This window comes from Homo sapiens, chromosome 1 (genome assembly GCF_000001405.40).
Source record: "Homo sapiens chromosome 1, GRCh38.p14 Primary Assembly".
Taxonomy (NCBI): Eukaryota; Metazoa; Chordata; class Mammalia; order Primates; family Hominidae; genus Homo; species Homo sapiens.
The window spans coordinates 229498798-229525795 of record NC_000001.11 but is presented as its reverse complement, the minus strand read 5'-3'; the positions used below and the strand labels follow the sequence as shown (position 1 = coordinate 229525795).

Genomic DNA, 26998 nt, shown 5'->3' with positions numbered 1-26998 from the left:
CAGTGGCGCAATCTCGGCTCTCTGCAAGCTCCTCCTCCTGGGTTCATGCCATTCTCCTGCCTCAGCCTCCCGAGTAGCTGGGACCACAGGTGCCTGCCACCACGTCCAGCTAATTTTTTAGTAGAGACAGGGTTTCACCGTGTTAGCCAGGATAGTCTTGATCTCCTGACCTCGTGATCCGCCCACCTTGGCCTCGCAAAGTGCTGGGATTACAGGCGTGAGCCACCGTGCCCAGCCCACATGTTTCTATATTGCAGTATTATTTTCTAATTAGGTTTTCATCTTTAGAGTTTTTGAAATTAGCCTTACCACTTGCTCTCTTATATGTGGAAAATTCCCCAGTGTTTTCTTTCACTTTCTACCCCATATGTGTTCCAAAAATTCTGAGTAGTACTCAGCCACAGCAAGCTTTTTTTCATCTGAAAAACAACAACAACAACAACAACAACAAATGTGCTTTGCAACCTGAGACCCTCAAAAATTAAAGAAAATAAGAAGTGGCAGGATGATTTGCCCAGGGAGTCAGGGAATGTGCATCAGGAACAAAGCTGAAATTGAAAGAATTATTTACTCCCTACATACTAGACCAGGGTTTGACAAACTTTTCTTTAAAGAGCCAGACAGTAAATATTGTGGGTTTTGGCCAGGCACGGTGGCTCACACCTGTAATCCCAGCACTTTGGGAGGCCGAGGCAGGTGGATCACTTGAGATCAGGAGTTCAAGACTAGCCTGGTGAACATGGTGAAACCCTGTCTCTACTAAAGATACAAAAAGTTAGCTGGGCGTGGTGGTGGGCACCTGTAATCCCAGCTACTCGGGAGGCTGAGGCATGAGAATTGCTTGAACTCAGGAGGCGGAGGTTGCAGTGAGCCAAGATTGTGCCATTGCACTCCAGCCTGGGAGACAGAATGAGACTCTGTCCCAAAAAAAAAAAAATTGTGGGTTTTATGGGTCACATATGATGGCTGTCACACATCCTTCTTTGTGTGTGTGTGCTTTTAAGCAACTTTAAAAATGTAAAACACATTCTTAGCTTGAGGGCCGTGCATAGACATGCCATGGTTCAGGTCTGGCCTGTGGGCCATAATTTGCTGAATAGACTCACGGCTGTGAGGCAAAGTGAGCGATTCCCTGTGGTGTCAGACCACACCTATCATTCTGGATCACATTATGGTTGCCATATTTTGAGGAGAGAGAAGACTCAGTTTGTATTTCTTTAAAGTGCAGAAATGAACCAATGAGTAGAACTTTAAGAGAAATAAATGTTCAGCTAAACACTTTTTTTTTTCAATACAAATATTGAAATGTTTCCTTGCAAGATAACAAGTTCCTGGCCGGGCATGGTGGCTCATGCCTGTAGTCCTAGCACTCTGGGAGGCCAAGACAGGCTGATTGCTTGAGCTCAGTAGTTCGAGACCAGCCTGGGCAACATGGTGAGACCCCCTCTCTACCAAAAATACAAAACAATAGCCAGGTGTGGTGGTGAGCACTTATGGTCCCAGCTACTCGGGAGGCTGAGGTAGGAGTACTGCTTGAGCCCAGCGAGGCAGAGGTTGCAGTGAGCTGGGATCGCACCACTGCACTCCACCCTTAATGACAGAGTGAGTGAGCCTCTGTCTTAAAAAAAAAAACAAAAAACTTGTCTCTGTTTGAGCAGAGGGTGGTTGCCTCTTTGTGACAGTGAAGGCTGGCAGATTAGACTAAAACAACAGTCTTTTCCTATGCTAAACTTTTCATTTGAAGTTAGACCACAGAAAATATAAAACAAAAGGGTTTTAAGCTTATTGTATATGATTTAAAATATATATATATATATAAGCAGTAGATGAAAAGGCGTCTTTGATAGATCTGAGATGTTCCAGGAGTAGAATTCCTGACTGCTGTGTGAAAGTGAACTGCTACTCCATCTCTGAAACATATCTGAGAAACGGGGCAGAAAACCAGTGTAAACTGCTCGTGGTGAAATTATTGAACATTGAAGTGTGAGGCTTGTCCTAAGAGCACGTCACCTCCCTTGACACAGATTCTGCATGTCCTTCCCTCTGGTAGGATCCTCCAGTTCCGTTTCTCAGCGAAGTAACCAGAGGTTCCAGTCTGCTCTTGCTTTCTGGGAGGAAGACAGAGCACCTAGTAATAGATTCCCAGGGTACTGATTGGCACCACACATGACTCAGAGGGGACCTAAGCCATCAGCAGGCTGCTCTAAGGACCTACCTCAGGGCACTCAGACAGCCTCACCAATCAGAGGCTCAGGAGAGGGTTTTCCTCACTGCCCTCCTTGTGTGCACTGGTTTCCTGTTTAGAGCAGCATTTAGCAGCACCACACACCTCAGATGTAGAGGATGAACCTCTCTTATATGAAATAAAATGATGTCCAGCAACTACTGTTGATAAGTATGTTCAGCCAATAAAATCAAAAAGGAATGTTTTTTATCCCCAAAAATGGAATTGGGTTTTATAAACAATGTAAGTTGGGAGGAGTGAGCACTCTGAGACTTTCCAAGTATGACTTAGGAGTAGCGTTCCTGGAGGAAAGGAGGGAGGATGGGGTGAGACAAAGATAGGGAGGGAATCAACACAGATCCTGCTGACTCCACTCCATCCCACCTTCTCCCACACCTACTTCCAGTTTGTTCCCTCACTTTTAGTAGAATTTGAGCTTAAAAAGACAGGATTAGAGTGACTTACTGTAATTTTCAGTGTCATACATACACACATATTACTATTTTTTCCTCTAGAGGAGGGGAAAAAAAGAACATCATAAAGAATAAGTGCTATGTTAGCCGGGCATGGTGGCACTGCCTGTAGTCCCAGGTACTGGGGAGGCTGAGGCAGGAGAATCACTTGAGCCCAGGAGCGAGAGGTTGCAGTGAGCCATGATTGCACTACTGTACTCCACCTGGAAGACAGAGCAAGACTCTTGTCTCAAAAAAAATAAAAAAAGAATTGCTATAATGTGGGAATATTAGAATTATCAGTCTCAGCACCACTGATGTCCTTTGCTCCCAGACATTTCAAGTGTTCTTTGGAAACTGCAAATATCTTGAGTTTCTGGTTTCCTTGCTACATTGGATATTCTGCTAGGGAGGAAATATGTGTAGTGATGAACAGCATAGATCTTTACATGCTTTTAAGAGCATACCCCTTGCACTGTGTAGGTTCAGATCTCAGTTCCACTACTTACCAACTATGAGATCCTGGACATGCTACTTTGTATCTCAGTTTATCATCTGTAAAATGGGAATAATTATAGGGTCTGTCTCATAGGATTTTTAAAAAGATTAGTCAGGCACAGTGGCTCACACAGTGGCTCCCAATCTCAGCACTTTGGGAGACCAAGGCAGGAGGATCTCTTGAGTCCAGGAGTTTGACACCAGCCTGGGCAACAGAGCAAGACCATGTCTCCAAAAAATTTTAAAAATTAGCCAGGTTTGGTGGTATGGGCCTGTGGTCCCAGCTACTCAGGAGGCTGAGGCAGGAGGATCACTTGAGTCCAGGAGGTTGAAGCTGCAATGAGCCGTGTTCATGCCATTGCACTCCAGCTGGGTGACAGAGCAAGACCTTGTTTGAAATTATTTAAAATAAAAACATTAAATGAGATAATACATGCAGTGCATATAGAAAATGCCTGGTATTGGCCGGGCACTGTGGCTCCCGCCTATAATCCCAGCACTTTGGGAGGCTGAGGTGGGCGGATTGCTTGAGCCCAGGAGCTTGAGACCAGCCTGGGCAACATGGCAAAACCCCATCTTTACCAAAAATTAGCCAGGTGTGTTGGTGCACACCTGTAGTCTCAGCTACTTGGGAGGCTGAGGTGGGAGGATCACTTGAGCCCAGGAGATTGAGGCTGCAATGAGCCGTGATCATGCCACTGCACTCCAGCATGGGTGACAGAGTGAGGCCCTGTCTCAAAAACAGAAAGAAAAGAAAATACTTGGTATATAGGAAGTCATCAATACATTTTGGCTATGATAATAATTATTAATTTTGGGATTGATATATTTTAAACCTATATTTTAAAATAGGTTTCTGGTCTATCTGTGTCAGCTATGACTAACTAGAAGAAGCTTGCCTTCAAATTGCTATATGGTTTATCATAAAAGCCTATTACTAAGATTTTTTGTTGAGGCCTTCTTTTTTTAAATGTTGTCTTTGTCAGGTGGGCAGAAACAGCGGATTGCGATTGCCCGTGCTCTGCTAAAGGTAAGCCTGAAGCGACTTGGATGTTTTTTAAATTAGGGATTATTTTTATTAGGGACCTTGTAATTTGTAATTTACTATTTGTCTTCTTCCTTTTCCTGTTTTTTGTTTTTTTTTTTTTCTTGGAGTGGGAGGGTGACAGTTCTGGTGAAAGGTAAGTTAGTGTAGTATATTGTCCAAATTTAACAAGTATTTCTTAGGTATCATGAGCTCAGTACTGTGCTAAGGTTGTTGGAGGTAGAAGAATTTAACACATGGACCCTCCATCAAGAAGCATACAGTCTAGCCAGTGAAACAGTGATTATTAATGCAAAATATAAAACAGCGTAAGTATGCATATTTGTACAATCTGTAATCAGCTGCTAAAGTGAATAGTACAGACTTGAAGTACTTAGACAAGATTCCTAGAAGGAAAGGGAAGAGCCATTTTAGCTGAAAGGCGGGCATTCTCTTTTTAAGGAAGCAATAGCCTTCCCTTTGTTATACAACTGTTCTTCTCAGGCTTATAGGTGATTAAAAAAAAAAAGCAGCTTTACTGAAGCAGAATTTACATATATAAAATTCATTTATTTTAAATGTACTTTCCAGTGACTTTTAGTAAATTTGCGGAGTTGGTTGCACACAAAGTCCAGTTTCAGAACATTTCTGTCACCCTAAAAAGATCTCTTGTGCCCACTTGCAGTCAGTCGTTCCTTGTTTCCGGCCCCAGGATGCCACGAATCTACTTTCTGTCTGTCTAGATTTGCTTTTCCAGACATTTCAGATAAATGGAATCAGACGATATATGGTTTTTGGCATCTAGCTTCTTTCACTTAGTACAGGTGGAGTGTTTTTGAGATTTCTCCAATTTGTAGTTTGTATCAGTACTTTATTCCCTTCTACTGTTAAGTAGTATGGATGGATCCCTATTTGTTGATCTGTTCACCAGCTGATAAACGCTTGGGTCATTTCCAGTTTGGGGCTATTGTGAATAATATATAAAGAATAGTAGCTACCTTTTTGTGAGGGTGTGTGTTTTCATTTGCAAAGCTGGACTTGTAATGTTTTATCTACATCAGATTAGTCTCTTTTTTTTTTTTTTGGTCTCATGTGTTAGCTTTTCTTTTTTCTTTTTTTCTTTTTTTTGAGACAGAGTCTCGCTGTATCACCCAGGCTGGAGTGCAGTGGTCGATCTCAGCGCATTGCAAACTCTGCCTCCCAGGTTGCAAGTGATACTCATGCCTCAGCCTCCCAAGTAGCTGGGATCACAGATGCACGCCACCACACCCGGCTGATTTTTGTATTTTTAGTAGAGGTGGGGTTTCACCATGTTCGCCAGGCTGGTCTTGAACTCCTGACCTCAAGTGATCCACCCACCTTGGCCTCCCAAAGTTAGTTTATTATTTCTAAATTAACTATAAGCAGGACCTTGAAAGTTATAGACATATCTTTTTAATTTTAATTTAATTTTATTTTTAAATTTGTGACGGTCTCATTCTGTCACCCAGGCTGGAGTGCAGTGGTGTGATCATGGCTCACTTGTAGCCTTGACCTCCTGGGCTTCAGTAATCTACCTGTCTCAGCCTCCCAGGGAGCTAGGACTATAGGTGCATACCATACCAAACCCAGCTAATTTAAAAAAAAATTTTTTTGGTAGAGATGGGGTCTTGCTATTTTGCCCAGGCTGGTCTTGAACTCCTGGGCTCAAGCAGTCCTCCCCCCTCAGCCTGCCAGAGTGTTGGGATTACAGGTGTGAGCCACCGTACTCAGCCTTACTCATTTTATTTATTTATTTACTTACTTACTTACTTTATTTATTTATTTTCTGAGACAGAGTCTCACTCTGTCGCCCAGGCTGGAGTGCAGTGGTGTGAGCTTGGCTCACTGCAGCCTCCACTTCCCGAGTTCAAGCGATTCTCCTGCCTCAGCATCCAGAGTAGCTGGGATTACAGGCATGTGCCACCAGGCCAGCTAATTTTTTTGTATTTTTAGTAGAGACGGGGTTTTGCCATGTTGGCCAGGCTAGTCCCAAACTCCTGACCTCAGGTGATCCACCTGCCTCGGCCTCCCAAATTGCCGGGATTACAGTCGTGAGCCACCACGTCCGGCCATCTTACTCATTTTAGATTCTCATCTCACTGACCAGCAGGATAAAACTGTGCTATAAAGGATACCCGGTCTAGTGATTACTCTGATGGCAGGATAAAACTGTGCTATGAACGATACCTGGTCTAGTGATTACTCTGATGATCATTTAAAATAGTCTCTAATTCTTTCATTTATGTACTTATCCCAGACACTTAGTAATTTGTGGGGTTTTTTTGTAACAGCTTTGAGATATAATTCACATACTACATAATTTGCCCATTTAAAAAATAAATTCATTGGTTTTTAGTGTATTCTGTGTTGTGCATCCATCATCACAATTTTAGAAAACATTTTCATCACCCCCCCAGGGACCCTCTACTCTTTAGCAGCCATGCAACTCCCCTTCCTTATTTCCTGCATTGAACCCAGCCCCAGATATCCACCATCTGTAGAAGTGCCTGTTGTGGACATTTCATATAAGTGAACTCATACAGTATGTGATTCTTTGTGTCTGGCTTCTTTCACTTAGCATAAGTTTCCAAGGCTCATCCACATTGTAGCATGTGTCAGAATTTTATTCCTTTTTTATTGCTGAGAGTTTGTATTTTTCCAATAAAATTATTTTATCTTTTCCTTTTTTTTCCTTCTTCAGAATCCCAAAATTCTTCTCCTAGATGAAGCAACCAGGTGAGGATATCTTAATAATATATGCCATTGTGTGTATTAAACCAAATTCTTCCTTCACCAAAACACTTTTAATTCTGTACCTCAAAGTGATACAACTGAAAATCCTTTTTCCCCCCTTTACTCTAAAGTGAGGGAAGCTGAATTAATAATGACAGTTGAAAACCAGTGGGCAGACTGAGTCCTAGTTGAGAGTTCTAGGTCCACTTCAGACATGGTTGCCATCAATCCTAATCACTCTGTAAGCTGTAACTGTGCAGAATGCTTTTCTCCTTACATCACAGTATAGTTTTATGGAGATCAGAAAGTCCTAAACAGTTGAAATTTTGATCATGGTAAAAATTCATTGCTCAGGAAGGGCTGCTGTGTGTATCAGGAAGCACATGGGTGTCACTGACGTCTTTGCTTTCTTGTGTGTGTGCTCCTGTGTCAGTGCGCTGGATGCCGAAAATGAGTACCTTGTTCAAGAAGCTCTAGATCGACTGATGGATGGAAGAACGGTGTTAGTTATTGCCCATCGTCTGTCCACCATTAAGAATGCTAATATGGTTGCTGTTCTTGACCAAGGAAAAATTACTGAATATGGAAAACATGAAGAGCTGCTTTCAAAACCAAATGGGATATACAGAAAACTAATGAACAAACAAAGTTTTATTTCAGCATAAGGAAGCAATTACTGGTAAACAATATGAGACTTTAATGCAAAACAGTGTTGCAGAAAAAAAACTCAGAGACTATGAAATACATAAACCATATATCAAGTTATTTGAAAAATACCTATTTTTTTCCAAAGTGTGTAAAAGATTGTTTTGAAACGTACCTGTTCTCAAGATCTTTTTATTCAGAGTTTTAATAATTGTAACTTTTTAAATGTCTATAGCACTGAAGTTATTTTCAGGTTTTGTATTTTCTTTTCTTGTGGAATATTTTAATTAATATAGCATGGCACCTCATTTTCTTTTGCCTGCTGTTAAAGATTGAAGCTATTGTCAAATGACAACTTTAAAAAGGCAATTATAAATAAAAAGCCTGATTATTTTAGGCCAGTTTACCAATCACTGTGTAATTCTTCTGGTAGTATTCTACCTACTTTTAAGTCTAATTTTACAGATAGAATAATGGAAATTGAAAATTTAACCCTTTATTCCGATAATCTCATGAAGCAAACCTAACTATTTAACATCAGCTGGAAAGAAGGGAACATTTATATTGCCCATCTCCTGTGTCTTCAAAGGTGTGAGAGCTGAGGAATATGTGTTCCTATGGGAACTATGTTTGAATATGTGCAGTTTTCAACATTTTGGCACATGAAAGCCTGACAAGTTTTTAAAAGGGCAGAAGCTTTATTTTTTGAACAGGAAAACATGTTTTTTAAATTCACATGTTTGTATGAGTACTTTTGCGAAGCAAGGCATGAACTGCTAGGTATTATTAAGAATGAATGATTTTTGCATTTAAGTTGTTTGAAGGCATGTATTTTGAAAAATATCTGTTACAAATTTATAATTTCAAGACAAATTGAATCTTATTTTATAATACTTTTGGAATTTCATTAATAAGGCTAAAATTTGAGGAATATAACTAATTTTCAGCCTTAAGACATTTAAGTTTGGAAGTCCTTGCTATTCAACAGAATAACAAGAAAACTTCAGAATGTATCACTCTCCTGAAAAGAAGATATTAATAAGCCCTTTTATTTATGGTTATAGTTTTATTTATAGTCTCAAAATTCCTAAAGCAATGCTACAACCATTGAATTTGCCATATTTTGTATCAGTGCTGTTAATTTGCTGTTGCCTCAAGAAAAAGTGCTTTTTCTCCATGGATGAGGCTAGACCCTAAGAAGTAATTAAGTCAATGTAAATCAAATGGAAGTTTTCCCATGAACTAAGCATTTATTAGTTCCCTGATTAGACTGGAAGAAGAAACCACTATTTCATGAAAAGCATGGAATATTATATTTTATTGTTCATAATTAATGAATAAAATTGATATGAATGAATATAGTGTTCTTTGAATTAGTAAACAGTACATCTGTGACAATCATTTTTAACAAGCTCTACTTGTGTTCTTTATAAAGTGTGATTTTCAGAAAGCAAACAACACAATTACAAGGTTGAATCTGAGGAAAATAATCCTTGTGCCATAGAAGTATTTACGAAATTGCATTTCATTGTTATGTTTTATTTTCTGATACATGATGTTCAATTTTATCTTTAGGTAATATTTTATATCATAGATTAAAATTTATAGTGAACTTTATCTGTGTCTGTCACTTTTTTTTTTTTTATGACCCAGGAACCAAAGATGCAGTCTGTCATTTCTTATAAAACTTCTCACTACATTGTTTCTTAGTAGAATTTGGCTGTGGAGATTCAGGAATAAAGAAAAGACTAACATTACACATATCCAAAAACATGTTGTAATTAAAAGTTCCATTCATTCCTCCTTACCAAGTTTGTTGAATGTCATCACTTGTTTGCTACTTACAAATATTGTTTAATTGTTTCACTGCAGTAAATAAGTATCTCCTACCTACATCAGGGACAAGGAACTGTGCTGTGAAGTTGATAGATGAGTAAGCCACAGTTTCTGCCCTCAAGGAGCTTCTAGTTTTGAAGGAGTGGGAAGGCAGGGGAAAATTAATAACAAGAATGCAGCTAGGGATCATAAAGAGGTGTAGTTGTAACACTGTGTTCTGGTATCACTTTTTTGTTTCCAGAGTGTTTGCATGTTACATTTGATACTTTGACAAGCCTGTAATTTAGACAAATATTTATCTTCCCCATTTCACAGAGGAGGAAATAAGCGTAGGCAAGTTGTGAATTAATTCAGCATTAATGACATACACAGTTTCAGGCAAGAAGAAACTCAAAAGAAAATTTTCGCATTGTTGAGCTCAGCATTTTGTTATATACCGTCCCAGGCTTGTCTGTATGTTCAAGGTCTCCCCTGACCCTGGGCCTGACAGGTTCCCGAAGAATAATCACAAGTTAAACCATTGTAGGTCGAACCCTTGTAAATGCATTCTTATAAAAGTAGGGCTCCATTTTGGGAATCCATCTTTTTTTTTTTTCCTTTGAGACAGAGTCTCACTCTGTTGCCCAGACTGGAGTGCAGTGGCGCGATCTTGGCCACTGCAACCTCTGCCTCCCAGATTCAAGCGATTCTCCTGCCTCAGCCTCCGGAGTAGCTGGGACTACAGGCGTGCGCCACCATGCCCGGCTGCTTTTTGTATTTTTAGTTGAGACAGGGTTTCACCATGTTGGCCAGGCTCATCTCCGACTCCTGAGCTCAAGCGATCCGCCTGCCTCAGCCTCCCAAAGTGCTGGGATTACAGGTGTGAGCCACCGTGCCCGGCCTGGTTTTAGTTTATTTTTGATAACTTTGGCAGTTTTATAAAATAAGATGAATTCCCGGCCAGGCATGGTGGCTCATGCCTGTAATCCCAGCTACTCAGGAGGCTGAGGCAGGAGAATCACTTCAACCTGGGAAGCAGAGGTTGCAGTGAGCTGAGATCGCACCACTGCACTCCAGCCTGGGAGACAGAGACCTTGTCTCAAAAGTAAATAAGCGAAAAGCAGTACAAATGTTACAAAACAAATATAAATGAAATAACTATGTGAAAACTACATTGTAAAAGTTCCTTTGGAGTGTATTTCTGAGGCATCATGGGGTTTTTCTGGTCATCTGTCCACTGAATTCATTCAATAAACATTTACTGAGCATCTTCGATTTTGCTAGGTCCTGTGCTGGGTGCGAGCTGTGCCTCCCTCACAAAGCTAGTGCAAGGATTGGCAAACAGCTGTTTTTGTATAGCCTGCAGGCTAAGGATAGTTTTTACAGTTTTAAATTGTTGGAAAAAAATCGAGAGAATATCTCATGACACATTAAAAATACATGAAATTCAAATTTCAGTGTCCATAAACAGCCTACTCCTTCTAGGAATTGTCTGCGGCTGCTTTCACCCTACAGCCACAAGGGGGAGGAGTTGTGACAGACTACATGGCCTACAAGCTGAGATGCCTGACAGAAATCTCACTGATGACAGAGACAGTGAAAAAATTCCGTACTACTTGAAGGACTTCTAAACCACACTGAAATTTAGAGCCATCTCAAAAAGTTCCATTGACAGGATTAGATGAGTGCCCTGAAAATGACTGGGTGCGGGTAATTTCTGGATGCGTTCTTCCTTGGTCCTGTGCCTCTCCATTTTAACACTTTAATTACCATGCTGTGAGAATGGGAGTCTAATAATTCCACCACGTCGGCAGGGAATCATTCTGGCTGCTTTCCTATTGTCGACTGCAGTTGTTAGTTAGTCCCACATAAATCAAAGTTTGATCTTAACTGCAAAGGTGATATTTTGGGAAGGACGTACAGAGGAGAGGCTCGTCTCCAAGTGGAACCACAAGTTGCCTGGGCGCCTCACACATACACACATGTCTACACTGGGGAGGTATTTTTCTATTTATTTTAATAAAATTTAAATCCACTTATATTGCATGTAGGGGAAAAGAAACCCTTACCATCTTAGGTTCATGGCTAAGGCCCTTATAACAAAAACCAGATTCACAAGAGAAAAGCATGCAAATTTATTTAAAAGTTTAACATGACATAGGAGCCCTTGGAAATGAAGACCCAAACAAACAAGGAAACTTGTGCATTTTTATGCTTAGGGTTGATGAGTGGACAACTTGTGGAAGGATATGACTGGACAAAGGTCTGATCTAACGGTAACAACTGGGGGAAATTGGTAAAGCCTGTTTGTTCAGACTCTTCTCTGTGGCCCTGTGTCTTCAGAGATAAAGATGTTTCTTTCCTCCAGGTACAGGGAAGGCATCTCTCAAATGAGGGTCTTAAGACCTGTTTTAGGGGAGAAGGGTGGAAGAAGGTCAGAGAATGATCTTCCTGCTTCTACTGTGTTCTCAAATGCCAAGGTGCCACATTTTGGGGTGGTAGGTCCTGAACCGTATCACTGCACACACTATTTTTTATTCTATATATTTAAGGTGTACATGATGTTGATATGTATATGCACAGTAAACTACAGTCAAGCAAATTATCCTATCCTTCATCTTCCATAGTTACCTTTTTTCGGTTTTTTTGAGGAAAGAGTCTATAAAATCTCCTCTCAGCAAATTTTCAGGATATAATACAATGTTGTTAACTATAATCCTTATGCTGTACATTAGATCTCTAGACTTCCGCATCTTACATAACTGCAACTTTGACCTAATTCTCTGCACATACTATTTTTAACCAAACTGCTTTTTAGAAAATTTGCATGAATATTTTCCTACATTGTTAAGTGTTCATTACTCACATCCATATGTATTCTTTTAAATATAGCTTTTCATAATGCTTTTTTTTTCAGACTCAGGACCTTTGTATTTTTTTTCGGTTTTCCATAATGTGGATGCACTATAAATCTATAGTTGGCCATCTATGTTACTTTCTACCTCCTTCACTATTATAAACAATACTGTCTTTGTTATTTGACTTTTTCACATAAATTTCTAAGGTGAAATTGCCAAGTAATTATAAGGCTTTTTAATAGAAATTGTCCTCTTAAAAGATTGTACTTTTACAGTCCCACCAGATAGATATGTAAGCAGTGCTTGTTTCCCCATAGCCTTTTCAATATGAACTGCTACTATTTTATTTTTTTTTTTCTGCCCTGTTGCCCAGGCTGGAGTGCAGTGGCCAATCTCGGCTCACTGCATCCTCTGCCTCCTGGGTTCAAGCGATTCTCCTGCCTCAGCCTCCTGCGTAGCTGGGATTACAGGCGTGCACCCACCATGCCCAGCTAATTTTTGTATTTTTTTCTTTCTTTTTTTTTTTTTGGAGACGGAGTCTCACTCTGTGGCCCAGGCTGGAGTGCAGTGGTGCAATCTCAGCTCACTGCAACCTCCGCCTCCTGGATTCAAGTGATTCTTCTGCCTCAGCCTCCCGAGTGGCTGGGACTACAGGCACGCACCACCACGCCCCGCTACTTCCTGTATTTTTAGTAGAGATGGGGTTTCACCATATTGGCCAGGCTGGTCTCGAACTCCTGACCTCGTGATCTGCCCGCCTCGGCCTCCCAAAGTGCTAGGATTACAGACGTGAGCTACTGTGCCTGGCTAATTTTTGTATTTTTAGTAGAGACAGGGTTTCACCATGTTGGTCAGGCTGGTCTTGAACTCCTGACCTTGTGATCCACCCACCTCAGTCTCCCAAAGTGCTGGGATTACGGGCGTTAGCCACTGCACCCAGCCTATTTACTTTTTGAGATGGAGTCTCACTCTGTCACTCAGGCTGGAGTACAGTGGCACAATATCAGCTCACTGCAACCTCCGCCTCCCAGGTTCAAGTGATTCTCCTGCCTCAGCCTCCCAAGTAGCTGGGACTACAGATGCGCACCACCACACATGGCTAATTTTTGTATTTTTAGTAGAGACAGGATTTCGCCATGTTGGCCAGGCTGGTCTCAAACTACTGACCTCAGGTGATCTGCCCTCATTGGCCTCCCAAAGTGCTGGGATTACAGGTGTGAGCCACCACCCCCAGCCTCTAACATTCCTTTATTAAATTCTTTTAACTACCTAGCCTGAGGGTACCATCTGTTTTCTCTATGATTTTTTTTTTGAGACAGTCTTGATATATATATATATAATTATACTTTAAGTTCTAGGGTACAGGTGCACAACGTGCAGGTTTGTTACATATGTATACATGTGCCATGTTGGTGTGCTGCACCCATTAACTCGTCATTTACGTTAGGTATATCTCCTAATGCTATCCCTCTCCCCTCCCCCCACCCCACAACAGGCCCTGGTGTGTGATGTTCCCCTTCCTGTGTCCAAATGTTCTCATTGTTCAATTCCCACCTATGAGTGAGGACACGCGGTGTTTGGTTTTTTGTCCTTGCGATAGTTTGCTGAGAATGATGGTTTCCAGTTTCATCCAAGTCCCTACAAAGGACATGAACTCATCCTTTTTTATGGCTGCATAGTATTCCATGGTGTATATGTGCCACATTTTCTTAATCCAGTCTATCATTGTTGGACATTTGGGTTGGTTCCAAGTCTTTGCTATTGTGAGTAGTGCCACAATAAACCTACGTGTGCACGTGTCTTTATAGCAGCATGATTTATATTCCTTTGGGTATATACCCAGTAATGGGATGGCTGGGTCAAATGGTATTTCTAGTTCTAGATCCCAGAGGAATCGCCACACTGACTTCCACAATGTTTGAACTAGTTTACAGTCCCACCAACAGTGTAAAAGTGTTCCCATTTCTCCACATCCTCTCCAGCACCTGCTGTTTCCTGATTTTTTAATGATCTCCATTCTAACTGGTGTGAGATGATATCTCATTGTGGTTTTGATTTGCATTTCTTGCTCTGTCACCCAGGCTGGAGGGCAGTGGCGCCATCACAGCTCACTGCAACCTCCACCTTCCTGGCTCAAGCAATTCCCCAGCCTCAGCCTCCCACGTAGCTAGGATTACAGGCACACACCACCATGCCCAGCTAATTTTTTTGTATTTTTAGTAGAGATGGGGTTTCATCATGTTAGCCAAACTGGTCTTGAACTCCTGACCTCAGGCAATCCACCTGCCTGGGCCTCCCAAAGTGCTGGAATTACAGGTGTGAGCCACCACGCCTGGCCTTCTCTAGGATCTTATTTGACAGAGCCTACAAGGCCCTTCATGGTCTCTCCTTATTTCTCCAATTCCCTTTACTTTTAGTCTTTCAGGTTGATTTGTTTGTTTAAAGTCTCTGGCTCTAATCCCAGCTACTCAGAAGGCTGAGGCTTGAGGATCACTTAAGACCCGGAGTTTGAGACCAGCCTGGGAAATATAGCAAGACCCCATTTTTTAATTGTATTTTTTTTAGAATTTAAAATAAAATTTCTTGGGGAGACAGGGTCTTGCTATGTTGCCCAGGGGCTGGTCTTGAACTACTAGCCTCAAGCCATCCTCCCACACCTTAGCCTTGCAAGGTGCCGGGATTAGAGACGTGAGCCACTATGCCTGGCCGTGAGACCCCATTTCTAAAAATATATATATAAATAAAAAATAGGCAGGTGTGGTGGTACATGCCCATGGTCCCAACTCAGAGGCTGAGGCAGGAGGATCACTGAAGCCCAGAAGGTTAAGGATGTGGTGAGCTTTGATCACGCCACTGCACTCCAGCCTGAGCAACAGAGTAAGACCCAATCTCTAGAAAAATCATAAAGTAAAATAAGAATAAATAAAGTTCCTAGAATGCACCAAGTCCTTTGCTGCTTCAGGACCTTTGGCCAAGGATCCTCTGCCTGAAACATTCTTCCTCCTATTCTCTTATGCTTCATGTCTCAGGTTAAACGTCCTTTTCTCCCAGAGACCTTTATAGACCTCCATGCAAAAATAGGTAGCCCCAGTGATTCTCTCTCATACACTTTGCTCTTTTATTTCATAGTACACATCTCAGCTTGTAGCTGGATATTTGTGTTCATTTTTTCAGTGTCTGTCTTTCTCATTGGTCTGTAATCTCCATGAGGGTAGGACCCATGGGCTTTGTTTAGTTATAAGCCTTAGCAATTATCACATAGCCTGGCACATGGTAGGTACTCACTAAATCCATAACGAATGGATGACTTTTAGTGCTGTCTGCTTACTATCCTTCAATAGCCATACATTTGGACTCCAGGCAAGTTCTTGCTCAAAGGTGGCTGACAAGTCATTCTAGCTCCTGCAAACAACAGCTTTTACATTAGGATGCTGGGGAAACCACTAACCAGTCCAACAAAGCACAAGAATAAAATTGATCCCACCAATCCTCTCAGACACAACTATTAATACTCTCTATTGCCTATTTCACACCCCTCCTTGTAAGAATGAAACAGGGAGGAAATGCACTGGGCTCTCAGAGCTATAAGACTCAACAAGCTGCCAAGTTGGGTTAGACACCCAGGTGGGAGAAGGAGTAAAGCAGCTAGCCTATGTAACCTTGGCAAGATGACTGCTCAGATGCCACTGGTGCATAGATAGATGACTGGCTTCCCAGGGGAATGTCAACAACTGACACCCACACTGTGGTCTCCCACATGTGAATACGTCAATGTTTACTTAACCATTCCCTTATTTCAACACACGTTGAATGAAAGTCTACTATGTGTCTGTTACTGTGTGCCACAAAGGTAACAAAGTCACTGCTCTTGCTGTCAAGACATTTAAAAGGAAGTACTTGACAGACAATTATGAAAACAAACTATTATGCAGGATAAAAATACAGTCTACACACAGGAGCAGAGAGGACAAAGGATAAGGGGGACCTAATCCTGTGGAAGGTTTCACTGAGAAGGCAGCACAGAACTAACTTGATGCGGAAGGTAGGCGCCTTCTGGACCAACAAGGCAGGGAGTGCATTCCAGGTGAGAGAAACATGGACATGGGCACTGGAGGGAGATTTGGGTTTTTAAGTTCTCGGAATGTGGAGTGCAAGTGGGAAGTGCTGGAAGTACAACACGGACGGAAAAGCCAACCTGACTTAGATCACATAGGACCTTGCAAAGGAGCTTAGCAAATAACCTACTGGCAATGGTCAGCCACTGAAGCATTTACAGGCCCAAGAGCAGCATTACGTTTGCCTTAATTCATTGTGTTGGCAGTGAGAAGATAGAGTGGAGGAAGACTAGACACAGGTAAGGAACCCTCTCCCCATCTCCCCTACTCCCTCCCGCTGGCAGAAGAGGCTACGCAGTGGTTGAGGGAAAGGTAAGTACCAGAACCAGGGCAGAGGCAGTGCAAATGTGTGATCTAGTACAGACACGTAGGACCTTACAACGTATACCATGATCTTAGGGTGGAGGTAGGTGTGAGGGATGACTGCAGATAGAGCTCTTCTCTTTGCCTTGGACAACTGGCCAGTTTTACCAAGCTGGAACAGAGATGGTGGTAGGAGAGGGGTCCTAAAGGAAAACATGAATGCGCTTTTCATAAGTGGATTGTGAGGAGTTCGCAGGACTTCCAGCTGAAATTGTCCCCTAGGGAGCTGAATGATAGGGGTCTGGGGGTTTTGAGCTGGATCCAGGTTAGAGACACGGATTTGTGGCGTCATCAGCGTGGATGAGACTGCGCAAAGTTGAATGGGAAAATGGCAAACCTAGAAAACAACAAATATCACAGTGCGATACCAGTGTCAGCTTTACGGCTTTTCTCCGTCCTCAGCTTGGAATGAGGAACATCTTTCATTTCACAAGAGGTTCAGGAACTACCAGTGTGAAAAGAGGCTACGTTCAAGCTGCTGGAGGGCCAGTTCCACCTAGGCGCAGTCAAGAAGGGCGCCTGGCTTTCCGGCTTCACGTCCCTGGAAGCTCGGCACTGCAGCGGTTCTAGATCTGGGGCCGCCGGCTGCCTTCCCGACCTACCTCGCTGACTGGGCACCGCCCTTAACGTCACGATCCCGCCCCCGCCAGCGCTCCGACCACAACCCGCGGGAGCCATTGCGTTTGACGTCATCATCGCGCGCCATCTCTTCCCTTAGGTGTTTAAGTTCCGCGCGCAGGCCAGGCTGCAACCTGACGGCCAGATCCCTCGCTGTCCTAGTCGCTGCTCCTTGGAGTCATGTTCCCAGCCGCCCCTTCTCCGCGGACCCCGGGTACCGGGTCCCGAAGGGGCCCGCTGGCCGGACTCGGGCCCGGCTCCACGCCCCGGACGGCTAGCAGGAAGGGTCTGCCCCTGGGGTCTGCAGTCAGCTCCCCAGTGCTCTTCTCGCCGGTCGGCCGGCGTAGCTCGCTAAGCTCGCGGTAAGTGATCTCCCTGGTTGGGTCTGGCAACCAACAGCCTCACGGGCCGCAGTGGGCCGGATAGGTTGTTGTCTTTAGAAGCCTTTGGAACCGGGGCGGCGGAATAGAATGCCACAGTATTGGAAAATAGACCTTTTCCACTGCTGCAGGTAGTATCTGCTTCGTTTTGATTATCAGTTGATCAGTTGATTCCCCACTTTGCATTTTTCATGGATACCTTTGTGCAGAAGTGAAGTACAAACTGGATTTGCATCAGTGTTTACCTACTTCCCACCTACTACCCGTGTGATCTGGTGTAAGTCACTCGTGATTTTCTTCATCTGTGAAATGGCGATAATATATCTCACCTGAGCCAGAGGAGTTATTATGAATTGCCACGATGCAGATGTAAGGTGATGGTGATAATGAGGACCTACAACCCTGAAAGATCATTGTTTAATGCCTAACATACCAACTGACATTAATATCTGATGATTGGTAATTAAAGGGTTTCTAGCTACGGAATTTAACTTTCTAGGTAAATTATAAGGAAAAGGCTTTACATAAGTGAGCTAAGAGTACTGTGATAGTTTAGTTACTAAAACTGCTCGTTTGGAGCACCAGTAAAATCATCACACACACACACCCCTCCCCACCCCCAACACACACCATGTTCATAATTAACCTAAAACTTTAGTGTTTCTGCATAGTTTTCTCTGAATTCATCTATAAAAAATGAATTTTTCCCTGCAGGAAACACAAAGTATTGTGTCTTGAAATTATGGTTAAAATTTATCTGTAAAATTTTTCAGTACTTTAAAGGAGAAGTGGTTTTGAAAGAATACACTGTATCTTTGACTTTTTTTGGCATATTTTGAAAAGTTCTTTTCAAAGTGCTGATCTTGTCAGTGTTTTCTATTCCTTTTGCGAAAAGTTGGAGAATAAAAGCATACTTTATTTACTGTGTGTTGTTTTATTTAAATCTCTTCTTGTGATCATTTGAAGAAAAACCTTTGTTATCCTCTGTCAGGAAACAAAGCCCTTAGCCCTTCTGTATGTGCATCTTCTCATTTAATTCTCGTGATAAGACATAGACTACCTTTTATTCTGGTGACTTTACAATATTCTAAATGTTAAGAGGGTGAGCAAGAAATAAAGTTTTTACTGTGATATCTGCTGTTGAGGACCATGTAACAGCTGATGCTCGTAACCTGTTCGATTTCTTGCTTGGTTGTACAGATCTGATAGTTTTTTTTTTTTTTTTTTTAAAGAGACAGGGTCTCACTCTCTGTCGCCCAGGCTACAGGCTGGTGCCACAATGCCCGGCTAATTTAAAATTTTTTTTGTAGAGACAAGGTCTTGCCACGTTCCCCAGGCTGGTCTTGAACTCCTGGTCTCAAGCAGTCTTCCCGCTTCGGCCTCCCAAAGTGCTGAGATTATAGACATGAGCCACTGCTCCGGCCAGGTCTGGTGGACTCTTAAGCACCTAAAGCTAGATGAGCTTAAATCTCATCTAAGCCAATATTTATAAAATGTATTTGACCACAACATATGGTAAAAGCTGATGTTTTATATTCTGTCTTTCAAAAATGTTGAGATCTGCAAAATGACCCGCTGTTTGAAAAAAAAAAAAAAAAAACACTGGTCTAGTTAAGCCTTATTTCACAGCTAAGGAGGCAGAATTATAAGGAGTTTAAGTGAATACAGGCATGCATTTCAATACTAGAGTCTATGGGATTGAAGCCAAGTTTTCCTAAATCCTGTTTTGTTTTTTTTTTACATGAAAAATATTACATTTAATTACATGGTAAATATGAGCCAGTGTTAATTTTTTTCAAAGAACTCCTTACTGTGAAAATATATACATAAAAAATTAGGATAATGGAGAATTTTAAGTTACAAGTAAGGTAATATAGACTCTTTTCTTTAGGGGAACACCAACACGAATGTTCCCACACCACTCCATAACTGAGTCTGTGAACTATGATGTGAAAACGTTTGGATCTTCTCTTCCTGTTAAAGTCATGGAAGCCCTAACATTGGCTGAAGGTAGGTGTCATCTTTCCATTTACCTATATTAGCAGTTTAAAATGGAGCCTAGATGTGGCATAGAGATTAAATTTATGTTTTCTCTAGTATACCTTTACGTAAATGGTGAGAGATGGGTGGCCTGTCTAGTGTTTTTTTATTTTTATTTTTTCGAGACAGAGTCTCACTCTGTCACCCAGGCTGGAGTGCAGTGGTGTGATCTCAGCTCACTGCAACCACCACCTCCCAGGTTCAAGCGAGTTTCCTGCCTCAGCCTCCCAAGTAGCTGGGATTATAGGTGTGAGCCACCACGCCCAGCTAATTTTTTGTATTTTTAGTAGAGACAGGGTTTCACCATGTTGGCCAGGCTGGTCTTGAACTCCTGACCTCAGGTGATCTGCCCTCCTTGGCCTCCCAAAGTGCTGGGATTACAGGCGTGAGCCACCACATCTGGCCACCTGTCTTAGTTTTTTTTTTTTTTTTTTTTTTTTTTTTTAACTGTAATTGAGATGTATAATACATTCGAGAAGGAGAATGAGTTCATTTGAACACAATCAAATTAAGTCTTTAATGGTTTTAGGTACTGTACAGTAGTCCCCCATTATCTTTGGGGGATATCTTCCAGGATCCCCAGTGGATGCCTGAAACCTTGTATAGTACTAAACCTTATATATACTGTGTTTTTTTAATACATACACACCTATGATAAACTTTAGTTTATAAATTAGGAACAGTAAAGATGAACAACAGTAATAATAAAGTAGAACAATTATAACAATATACCAGCAGCACTACTCTTGTACTTCGTTTGGGGTCATTAACTAAAATGAGAATATAAGCATTGCATTACTGCGACAGTTCATCTGGTAACTGAGACAGCTACTAAGTGACAAACAGCTGGATAGTCTCAGGGGTGTCCAATCTTTTGGCTTCCCTGGGCCACTTGGAAGAAGAATTGTCTTGGGTCACACATAAAATACACTTACGATAGCTGATGAGCTAAAAATAAATAATGAAAAGGTCTGTGTATAAATCTTATCATGTTTTAAGAAAGTTTACAAACTTGTGTTGGACCGCATTCAAAGCTGTCCTGGGCCACACGTGTCCCTGGGCCATGGGTTGGACAAGCTTGGGGTATACAGTATGGATATGCTGCACAAAGGGTTGATTCACAACCTTTAGGCAGGACAGTATGAGATTTTATCACTTTACCCAGAACAGCATGCAATTTACAACTTAGGAATTGTTCATTTGAATTTTCCATTTAATATTTTCAGACTACGATTGACCACAGGTATTTGAAACTGCAGATAAAAGGGGGAAATACTGTATATGCAAAATTCAGTCCTGTTTACAGAGTTGATCAGGTTTATGAAGTTTCCCGTGAAACCCCAAAACTGGCACCTCATGTTATTGGGTTTAATAATACAGTAAAATCAAGTCCTACCTCCATTTCTGGATCCTATGTAGCATCCCAGAGGCTGTGTGCACAAATTTATGACGTTACCATTGTCGTGGTGTACCTTTAGAAGCGTCTGTTGGTGGAGAATTAGTGTGGAATTTTGACAGATACAATCAACACAAGCTTAGAAAGGCAACTTTAAAGATGAGCAGTTGGATGACACTGGAAGAGCAAAGTTCAGAGCAGCCTTAATATCTGCTGAAGTCATTTTTATTAAGGCTTGAATTCTAGATCTTTGTGATTTTTCTGGAACAGTATTTTTCAAATTGTAGGGGTGACCAAAATTTAGCGGTTCTTGACCAGCATTTAAAAAAAGAAGAAATAGAATGCATCTCATATGTTTAGTAAATTTTGTTCGTTTTACTTAAATTGTATATGGGTGTATCGTGATGTAAAATGTATTATACTGTGAATAACTCTATTTACTGTATAACTTAATAACAGTAAAAAAAAAATGCTGAAATTACTCTGTTTTAGAAGAAGGAATATATCTCATCAACTGGAACTTGGCACATCTTGCCTGTAGGTCCTTGGGAGCTTTAGGGATAGTTGTTTTCAGACAACTACTAACCTTTCTATACATTGTTCTGTTTTAAATAAATAAATGTATATATATATATTGGTATATATGTGTATATTTTTCCCCTCTAAAAATTTCAGTTTACATTTAAACCTTTTAATGTACTACTCATATTTTAACAGACTAGATTAAATAACACAGCCCCAAATCTAGAAATTCAGAGAGTCCTTAGAAATTAGGATATATAAAACAAAGAGGTGTGTCAACTTGAAGAACTCTTCCCCACTTAGAAACCTGCCAACTACTGTTAAGTCAGCCCTTAAAGGCACACCGGTCGAGGATCTGGAGTTGTAGTGCTTTCAAGAAAAAGAAAATTACTGAGCAGATAGTTCAGTTGAGCAAAAAGCCTCACTCAGCCTGGGCTTGGTTTGATATTTTTGCTTGTACATTGTCTATGCCTTTTACTTCACCCTTCTACCTTTCTGTAAGTAAAGAGCAAAGCTCAACTTAATAAAATTTCCAGGGCTGTTAACACATTTGTGGAGGTTTACCACCAATACTTAAGATATGTGCTAATTTAGTTTTGTCACTTAATAGAGAACGTAACTCTTTGTCTCCATGTACTAAATAATTTATCATTCCTTTAAGGAGCTCTTATTTGAAAATTATGTGCTTTTGGTCCTCCAAAAGCACATTGTTTTCCTTGAAATGTTTTATATAGTTAATGAGTTTGTTATTTGTTTTACTTTATCGATATAATTATAAATGTTGCTAAATATTTCTTTTTTGTTTGTTTGTTTTGAGACAGAGTCTTGCTCTGTTGCCCAGGCTGGAGTGCAGTGGCGCGATCTCAGCTCAATGCAACCTCTGCCTCCCAGGTTCAAGTAATTCTCCTGCCTCAGCCTCCCGAGTAGCTAGGATTACAGGTGCACGCCACCATGCCCCCATGCCTGGCTAATTTTTTTTTCTATTTTTGGTAGAGATGGGGTTTCATCATGTTGGCCAGGCTGGTCTCGAACTCCTGACCTCATGATCCACCCACCTCGGCCTCCCAAAGTGCTGGGATTACAGGCGTGAGCCACCCTGCCTGGCCTCTCTTTTGTTGTTTCTGCTTACTTATTTTTTGATATGGAGTCTTGCTCTCTTGACCAGGTGGGAGTGATGTGATCATGGTTTACTGCAGCTTCAATCTCCTGGGCTCAAGTGGTTCTCCTGTGCCTCAGTCACCCTAGTAGCTGGGAAGTGCACTGCCAAGCCTGGCTATTTTTTTTTTTTTTTTTTAAGAGAGAGAGTCTCACTATGTTGCCCAGGCTGGCCTCAAGCAGTCCTCCCAGGGTGGCCTCCCAAAATATTGGGATTTATAAGCATGAGCCACTGTGCCTGGCCTAAATATGTCTTATAGGAAATAAGCTATCTGGTCTGTTTGTAACAAAAAATTAAGGAATATTAAATGTCCCAAATACACTTTTTGCCTTTAGATATATTTCTTTTTTCTTTCTTTTTTTTTTTTTTTTTTTTTTGAGATGGAGTCTGGCTCTGTTGCCCATGCTGGAGTGCAGTGGCACGATCTCGGCTCACTGGAACCTCCACCTCCCAGGTTCAAGCGATTCTCTTGCCTCAGCCTCCCAAGTAGCTGGGACTACAGGCACGTGCCACCACACTCAGCTAATTTTTTGTAGTTTTAGTAGAGTTGGAGTTTCACCATGTTAGCCAGGATGGTCTCGATCTCCTGACCTCGTGATCCTCCCACCTCGGCCTCCCAAAGTGCTGGGATTACAGGCGTTAGATATATTTCTAAAGTTGGTTATCAGAGTTAATAGATCTATTGTTTTTGGTGTTGATAATTTTGGAATATTCAAAAGTATTTGTTGTGAGGTAGTCGTTTCTGAGTGTGCCAATTACTTTTTTTTGATAAAGCGTGTGGTAATAAAGATTTATACTATAAGATTAATCACCCACCTCATTTTTTCCTTTAGTCGATGACCAGCTGACCATTAACATAGATGAAGGTGGATGGGCTTGTCTGGTGTGCAAAGAGAAGCTCATTATTTGGAAGATTGCTCTGTCACCTATTACTAAGGTAATGGCTCTTTAGAGAGCTGGAACAAGATAGAGGAGAGGAATGCCAATTGACTTTTCATTTTTACCCTAATTTTTTTACAGTTGGAGGATAGTCAATAGGAAACTACTTAGGCATTAAGAGTTTGCATTTTCATAGTGATGTGAAATAATGAGCATGCATACACATTTGTGTATTGGGAAAAAAGTTTCCCCCTTTTGAAGATCTGTGTTGTTTACATTTAATAAAATTAGAGTCATTGATATTTCCAATGAATATAATGCTAATCCGTCTGCCTAATGAAGTATCAGACTAAATGCTATCCACATAAGCAAATGAACTTTGAGTTTGCGTATTTCTGAGAAGACAGAACTATGTTTTGTTGAACCTACTGAATGATGCTTAATAAAATAAGAAAATATGATACCAGTTGCTAGTTAAACTTTTCACTTGTCCACTTCCAACAGTGGGTTATCATTTGCATGTCTAGTAACGTATCCTCAGCAACCTTTTTCTGTTTGTTACAGCTTAGATACACTACTCTCTTCTACCAGTCATTACTTCCTTGGCCATGTTCCGTTGGAACTCAGGGCTCCTGCTTACCTCAATTCTTCACTTCTGCTGAACTCTGTGTTACTGCTGCCTAGAAAAGGGTGTATGTGGTTAGGAGTAATAGGTGAGGGTGAATTCCTGGGGGACATACTGAGTTAGCTGCGGGATCCTGATATTTGGCTGAGAGTCTAAGAAATTGTTTCCTAGGTAACTTGGTATAATTACTCTTTGGTCATGCTAATTTTAAATGTCAGATGAACAAATCAAGAGTAAATTGGGAAAGTTCCATAGGAAGCCTAAGCACTCATCTTAACCTTACTTAGTCTTCTCTTAACTGGACTTTTCTAGCCCAGGAAGAGGTTAGGATAGTTGTTCTTCAGAGTTTGGTCTACCTTTAAGTTTTCATGATTCAATACTCTTAAGATACTTTGTTTTAAAATTACTGAAAGCCTGATTAAAAGGAGATGTGAGAAGAAAGAATATTTGTAGAATGGTGTTTCCAGCAGTGAGTCAGAATCTAAAATATGCAGAGAAGGGAAATCAGATGCATCTTCAAAATACTGGATTTGATGTGAAAGATTTTCTGTTTGGGTTTGTTCTACAGTTATCCGTTTGCAAAGAACTTCAGCTGCCACCTAGTGATTTCCACTGGAGTGCCGACTTAGTGGCTCTTTCTTACTCTTCTCCCTCAGGTGAAGCACATTCTACTCAGGTAGGTGACTTAAAAGCTTATTTAAATAAACTTTTTACAACAAGGACATCCTAAAGTTAGAGGAATCATCCTCTTTGATTTTGAGATATAACTATAAACCTATAGAAATCAAGATATTGTGGTATTGGCAAAGAGAGCTACACACATAGGTCAGTGTAACAGAATAGAGAATACAGTTATAGATCCACATAAAGGCACCCATTTGGTCTTTGATGAAGGTGCAAAAGCAATTCAGAAAGGATGGTTTTTGACGATGATTTTTCTCTGTATCAATGCATAGTGTAGGAACATTTGTAATTTTAAAATTACAAATGACCAATTTGTATTGTATTGTATTGAATTTTCCCTTAAACCTCATACCTTGTTACAAAGATTAATTTGAAATGGGTCATAGATCTAAATGTAAAACAGTAAAACTTTTAGAAGAAAACAGAAGAAAATCATCATGACCTGAGATTAGACAGAGTTCTTGGAAATCACCAAAAGCATGATCCATAAAAGAAAAGTTTGATAAAATTAATAATAAAATTAAAATAAAATAAAAATTTAAAGCGTTGCTTTGCCAAAGACAAGAAAATGAAGAGACAAGTTACAGAGTAAGAAGAATTTGCAAATCATGTATCCAGCAAAGGACTTGTATCCAGAATATTTTTTAAAATTCTAAACTTGATAAGAAAACAATGCAGTTTAAAAACAGGGGCTAGGACTTGAACAGACACTTAGTGAGGATATAAGGATGGCACATAAGCACATGAAGAGATGTTCAGCATCATTAGCCATTAGAAAAATGCAAACCAAAACACTGGTGAGTTCTTATTTCTGATTTTTCTTGATCAAATAGTAAATTGTCCTGTTTCTTTGTATCATTGCCATCAGACTGCTGGTTTTTGGGTTCCTCTTTTATTGTGATTGCTGATTGTTGTGATCTTGTTTTGAGGCTGTTGCTGTCATGGTTGCCACCAGAGAAGGATCTATCCGCTATTGGCCAAGCCTTGCTGGTGAAGATACCTACACAGAGGCTTTTGTAGATTCGGGAGGTGATAAGACTTACAGTTTCCTAACAGCAGTGCAGGTATACCACGGATATTCCTTTATATTTATTGGAAAGCTGTGATTTGGCTTGGAAATAAATTTTTGTTTTTATTTTTAAATAGAGGTGGGATCTCCTTATGTTGCCCAGGCAATTCTCAAACTCCTGGGCTCAAGCAATAACTCCTGCTTTGGCTTCCCAAAGTACTGGGATTACAAGCATGAGCCACTGCACCCCAGCCGTGGAAATGAGATTTGATGACTAAAAATGTGGGGTTTTAAAGAGACTATAGAGGCCGGGGAGGGATCAAAAAGAGACAAGGAAGAGAAGAATGTAAGGATCTATGATTTGAACAGTTAGACAAGGGAGGCTCTTCTCACAGGACTCCAAAATATCAATTTCAGATAGTAGCTTGTGATATGAATTTCTTTTAGAAACATTTTATAAGATTGGCTTAAAAACTGTCAGACACTATAAAGAATGGCTTGCATTATCTTCTTTGTAGGTTCACAAAGAAACAAAATCTGGCTGAGCATGGTGGCTCATGCGTGCAGTCTCACCACTTTGAATGGCTGAAGCGGAAGGATTGCCTGAGGCCAGGAGTTCAAGACTAGCCTGCGCCATAAAACAAAACTTTGTCTCTACAAAAAAATTTAAAAATTATCTGGGCATAGTGGTGTGTGCCTGTAGTCCCAGCTGCTCAGGAGGCTGAGGCAAGAGGATCTCTTGAGCCCAGGAGATTGAGGCTGCAGTGAACTATGATCTCACCACTGCACTTCTGCCTGGGTGACAGAGCGAGACCCTATCTCTAAAAAAATAAAATAGCAAACAAAAAATATAAATAAATAAAATCTGATAACCTAATTTGTTGAATCTGAAATATGATGAACTTGTAGTTTAAAAATCAGAATTTAAAAAATATGCAATT

At 40.9% G+C, this 26998-nt stretch overlaps 2 protein-coding genes and 1 long non-coding RNA gene across 7 annotated transcripts in view, besides 3 other annotated features; 2 read left to right on the top strand and 1 right to left on the bottom strand.

Annotated features, from left to right (window-relative positions):
* ABCB10 (ATP binding cassette subfamily B member 10) overlaps window positions 1-9214 on the top strand; it is a 42126-nt gene extending 32912 nt beyond the window's left edge. For all 4 annotated transcript variants that reach the window (NM_012089.3, XM_011544135.4, XM_047416589.1 and 1 more), the window contains 3 exons: window positions 4161-4204; window positions 6921-6955; window positions 7386-9214. In NM_012089.3, coding sequence (NP_036221.2) covers window positions 4161-4204; window positions 6921-6955; window positions 7386-7617 — 311 coding nt within the window. In that variant the 3' untranslated portion in view covers window positions 7618-9214. The remainder of the gene's footprint in view (window positions 1-4160; window positions 4205-6920; window positions 6956-7385) is intronic.
* A 2494-nt stretch (window positions 9215-11708) lies between these two features.
* NUP133-DT (NUP133 divergent transcript) lies at window positions 11709-17366 on the bottom strand. The gene is made up of 3 exons (NR_110630.1): window positions 17117-17366; window positions 15556-15672; window positions 11709-11818 (listed from the first exon to the last, which is right to left on the bottom strand). It is a non-coding gene; the product is annotated as an NUP133 divergent transcript (long non-coding RNA).
* Window positions 16300-16594: a silencer, noted in NCBI's record as "tiled region #12340; HepG2 Repressive non-DNase unmatched - State 1:Tss, and K562 Repressive DNase matched - State 5:Enh". NCBI's record gives its function as "represses a minimal TATA promoter and a strong SV40 promoter by Sharpr-MPRA in HepG2 and K562 cells {active_cell/tissue: HepG2 | K562}" and the evidence as "EXISTENCE:reporter gene assay evidence [ECO:0000049][PMID:27701403]".
* Window positions 17365-17484: an enhancer, noted in NCBI's record as "active region_2703". NCBI's record gives its function as "activates an Ori minimal core promoter by ATAC-STARR-seq in GM12878 lymphoblastoid cells {active_cell/tissue: GM12878}" and the evidence as "EXISTENCE:reporter gene assay evidence [ECO:0000049][PMID:35858748]".
* The window catches only part of NUP133 (nucleoporin 133), a 68083-nt gene continuing 58539 nt past the window's right edge, over window positions 17455-26998 (top strand). For both annotated transcript variants that reach the window (NM_018230.3, XM_047424979.1), the window contains exons 1-5: window positions 17455-17728; window positions 19638-19756; window positions 23694-23797; window positions 24933-25040; window positions 25978-26112. In NM_018230.3, the coding sequence (NP_060700.2) occupies window positions 17547-17728; window positions 19638-19756; window positions 23694-23797; window positions 24933-25040; window positions 25978-26112 (648 nt within the window). In that variant the 5' untranslated portion in view covers window positions 17455-17546. The remainder of the gene's footprint in view (window positions 17729-19637; window positions 19757-23693; window positions 23798-24932; window positions 25041-25977; window positions 26113-26998) is intronic.
* Window positions 17535-17764: a silencer, noted in NCBI's record as "silent region_1931". NCBI's record gives its function as "represses an Ori minimal core promoter by ATAC-STARR-seq in GM12878 lymphoblastoid cells {active_cell/tissue: GM12878}" and the evidence as "EXISTENCE:reporter gene assay evidence [ECO:0000049][PMID:35858748]".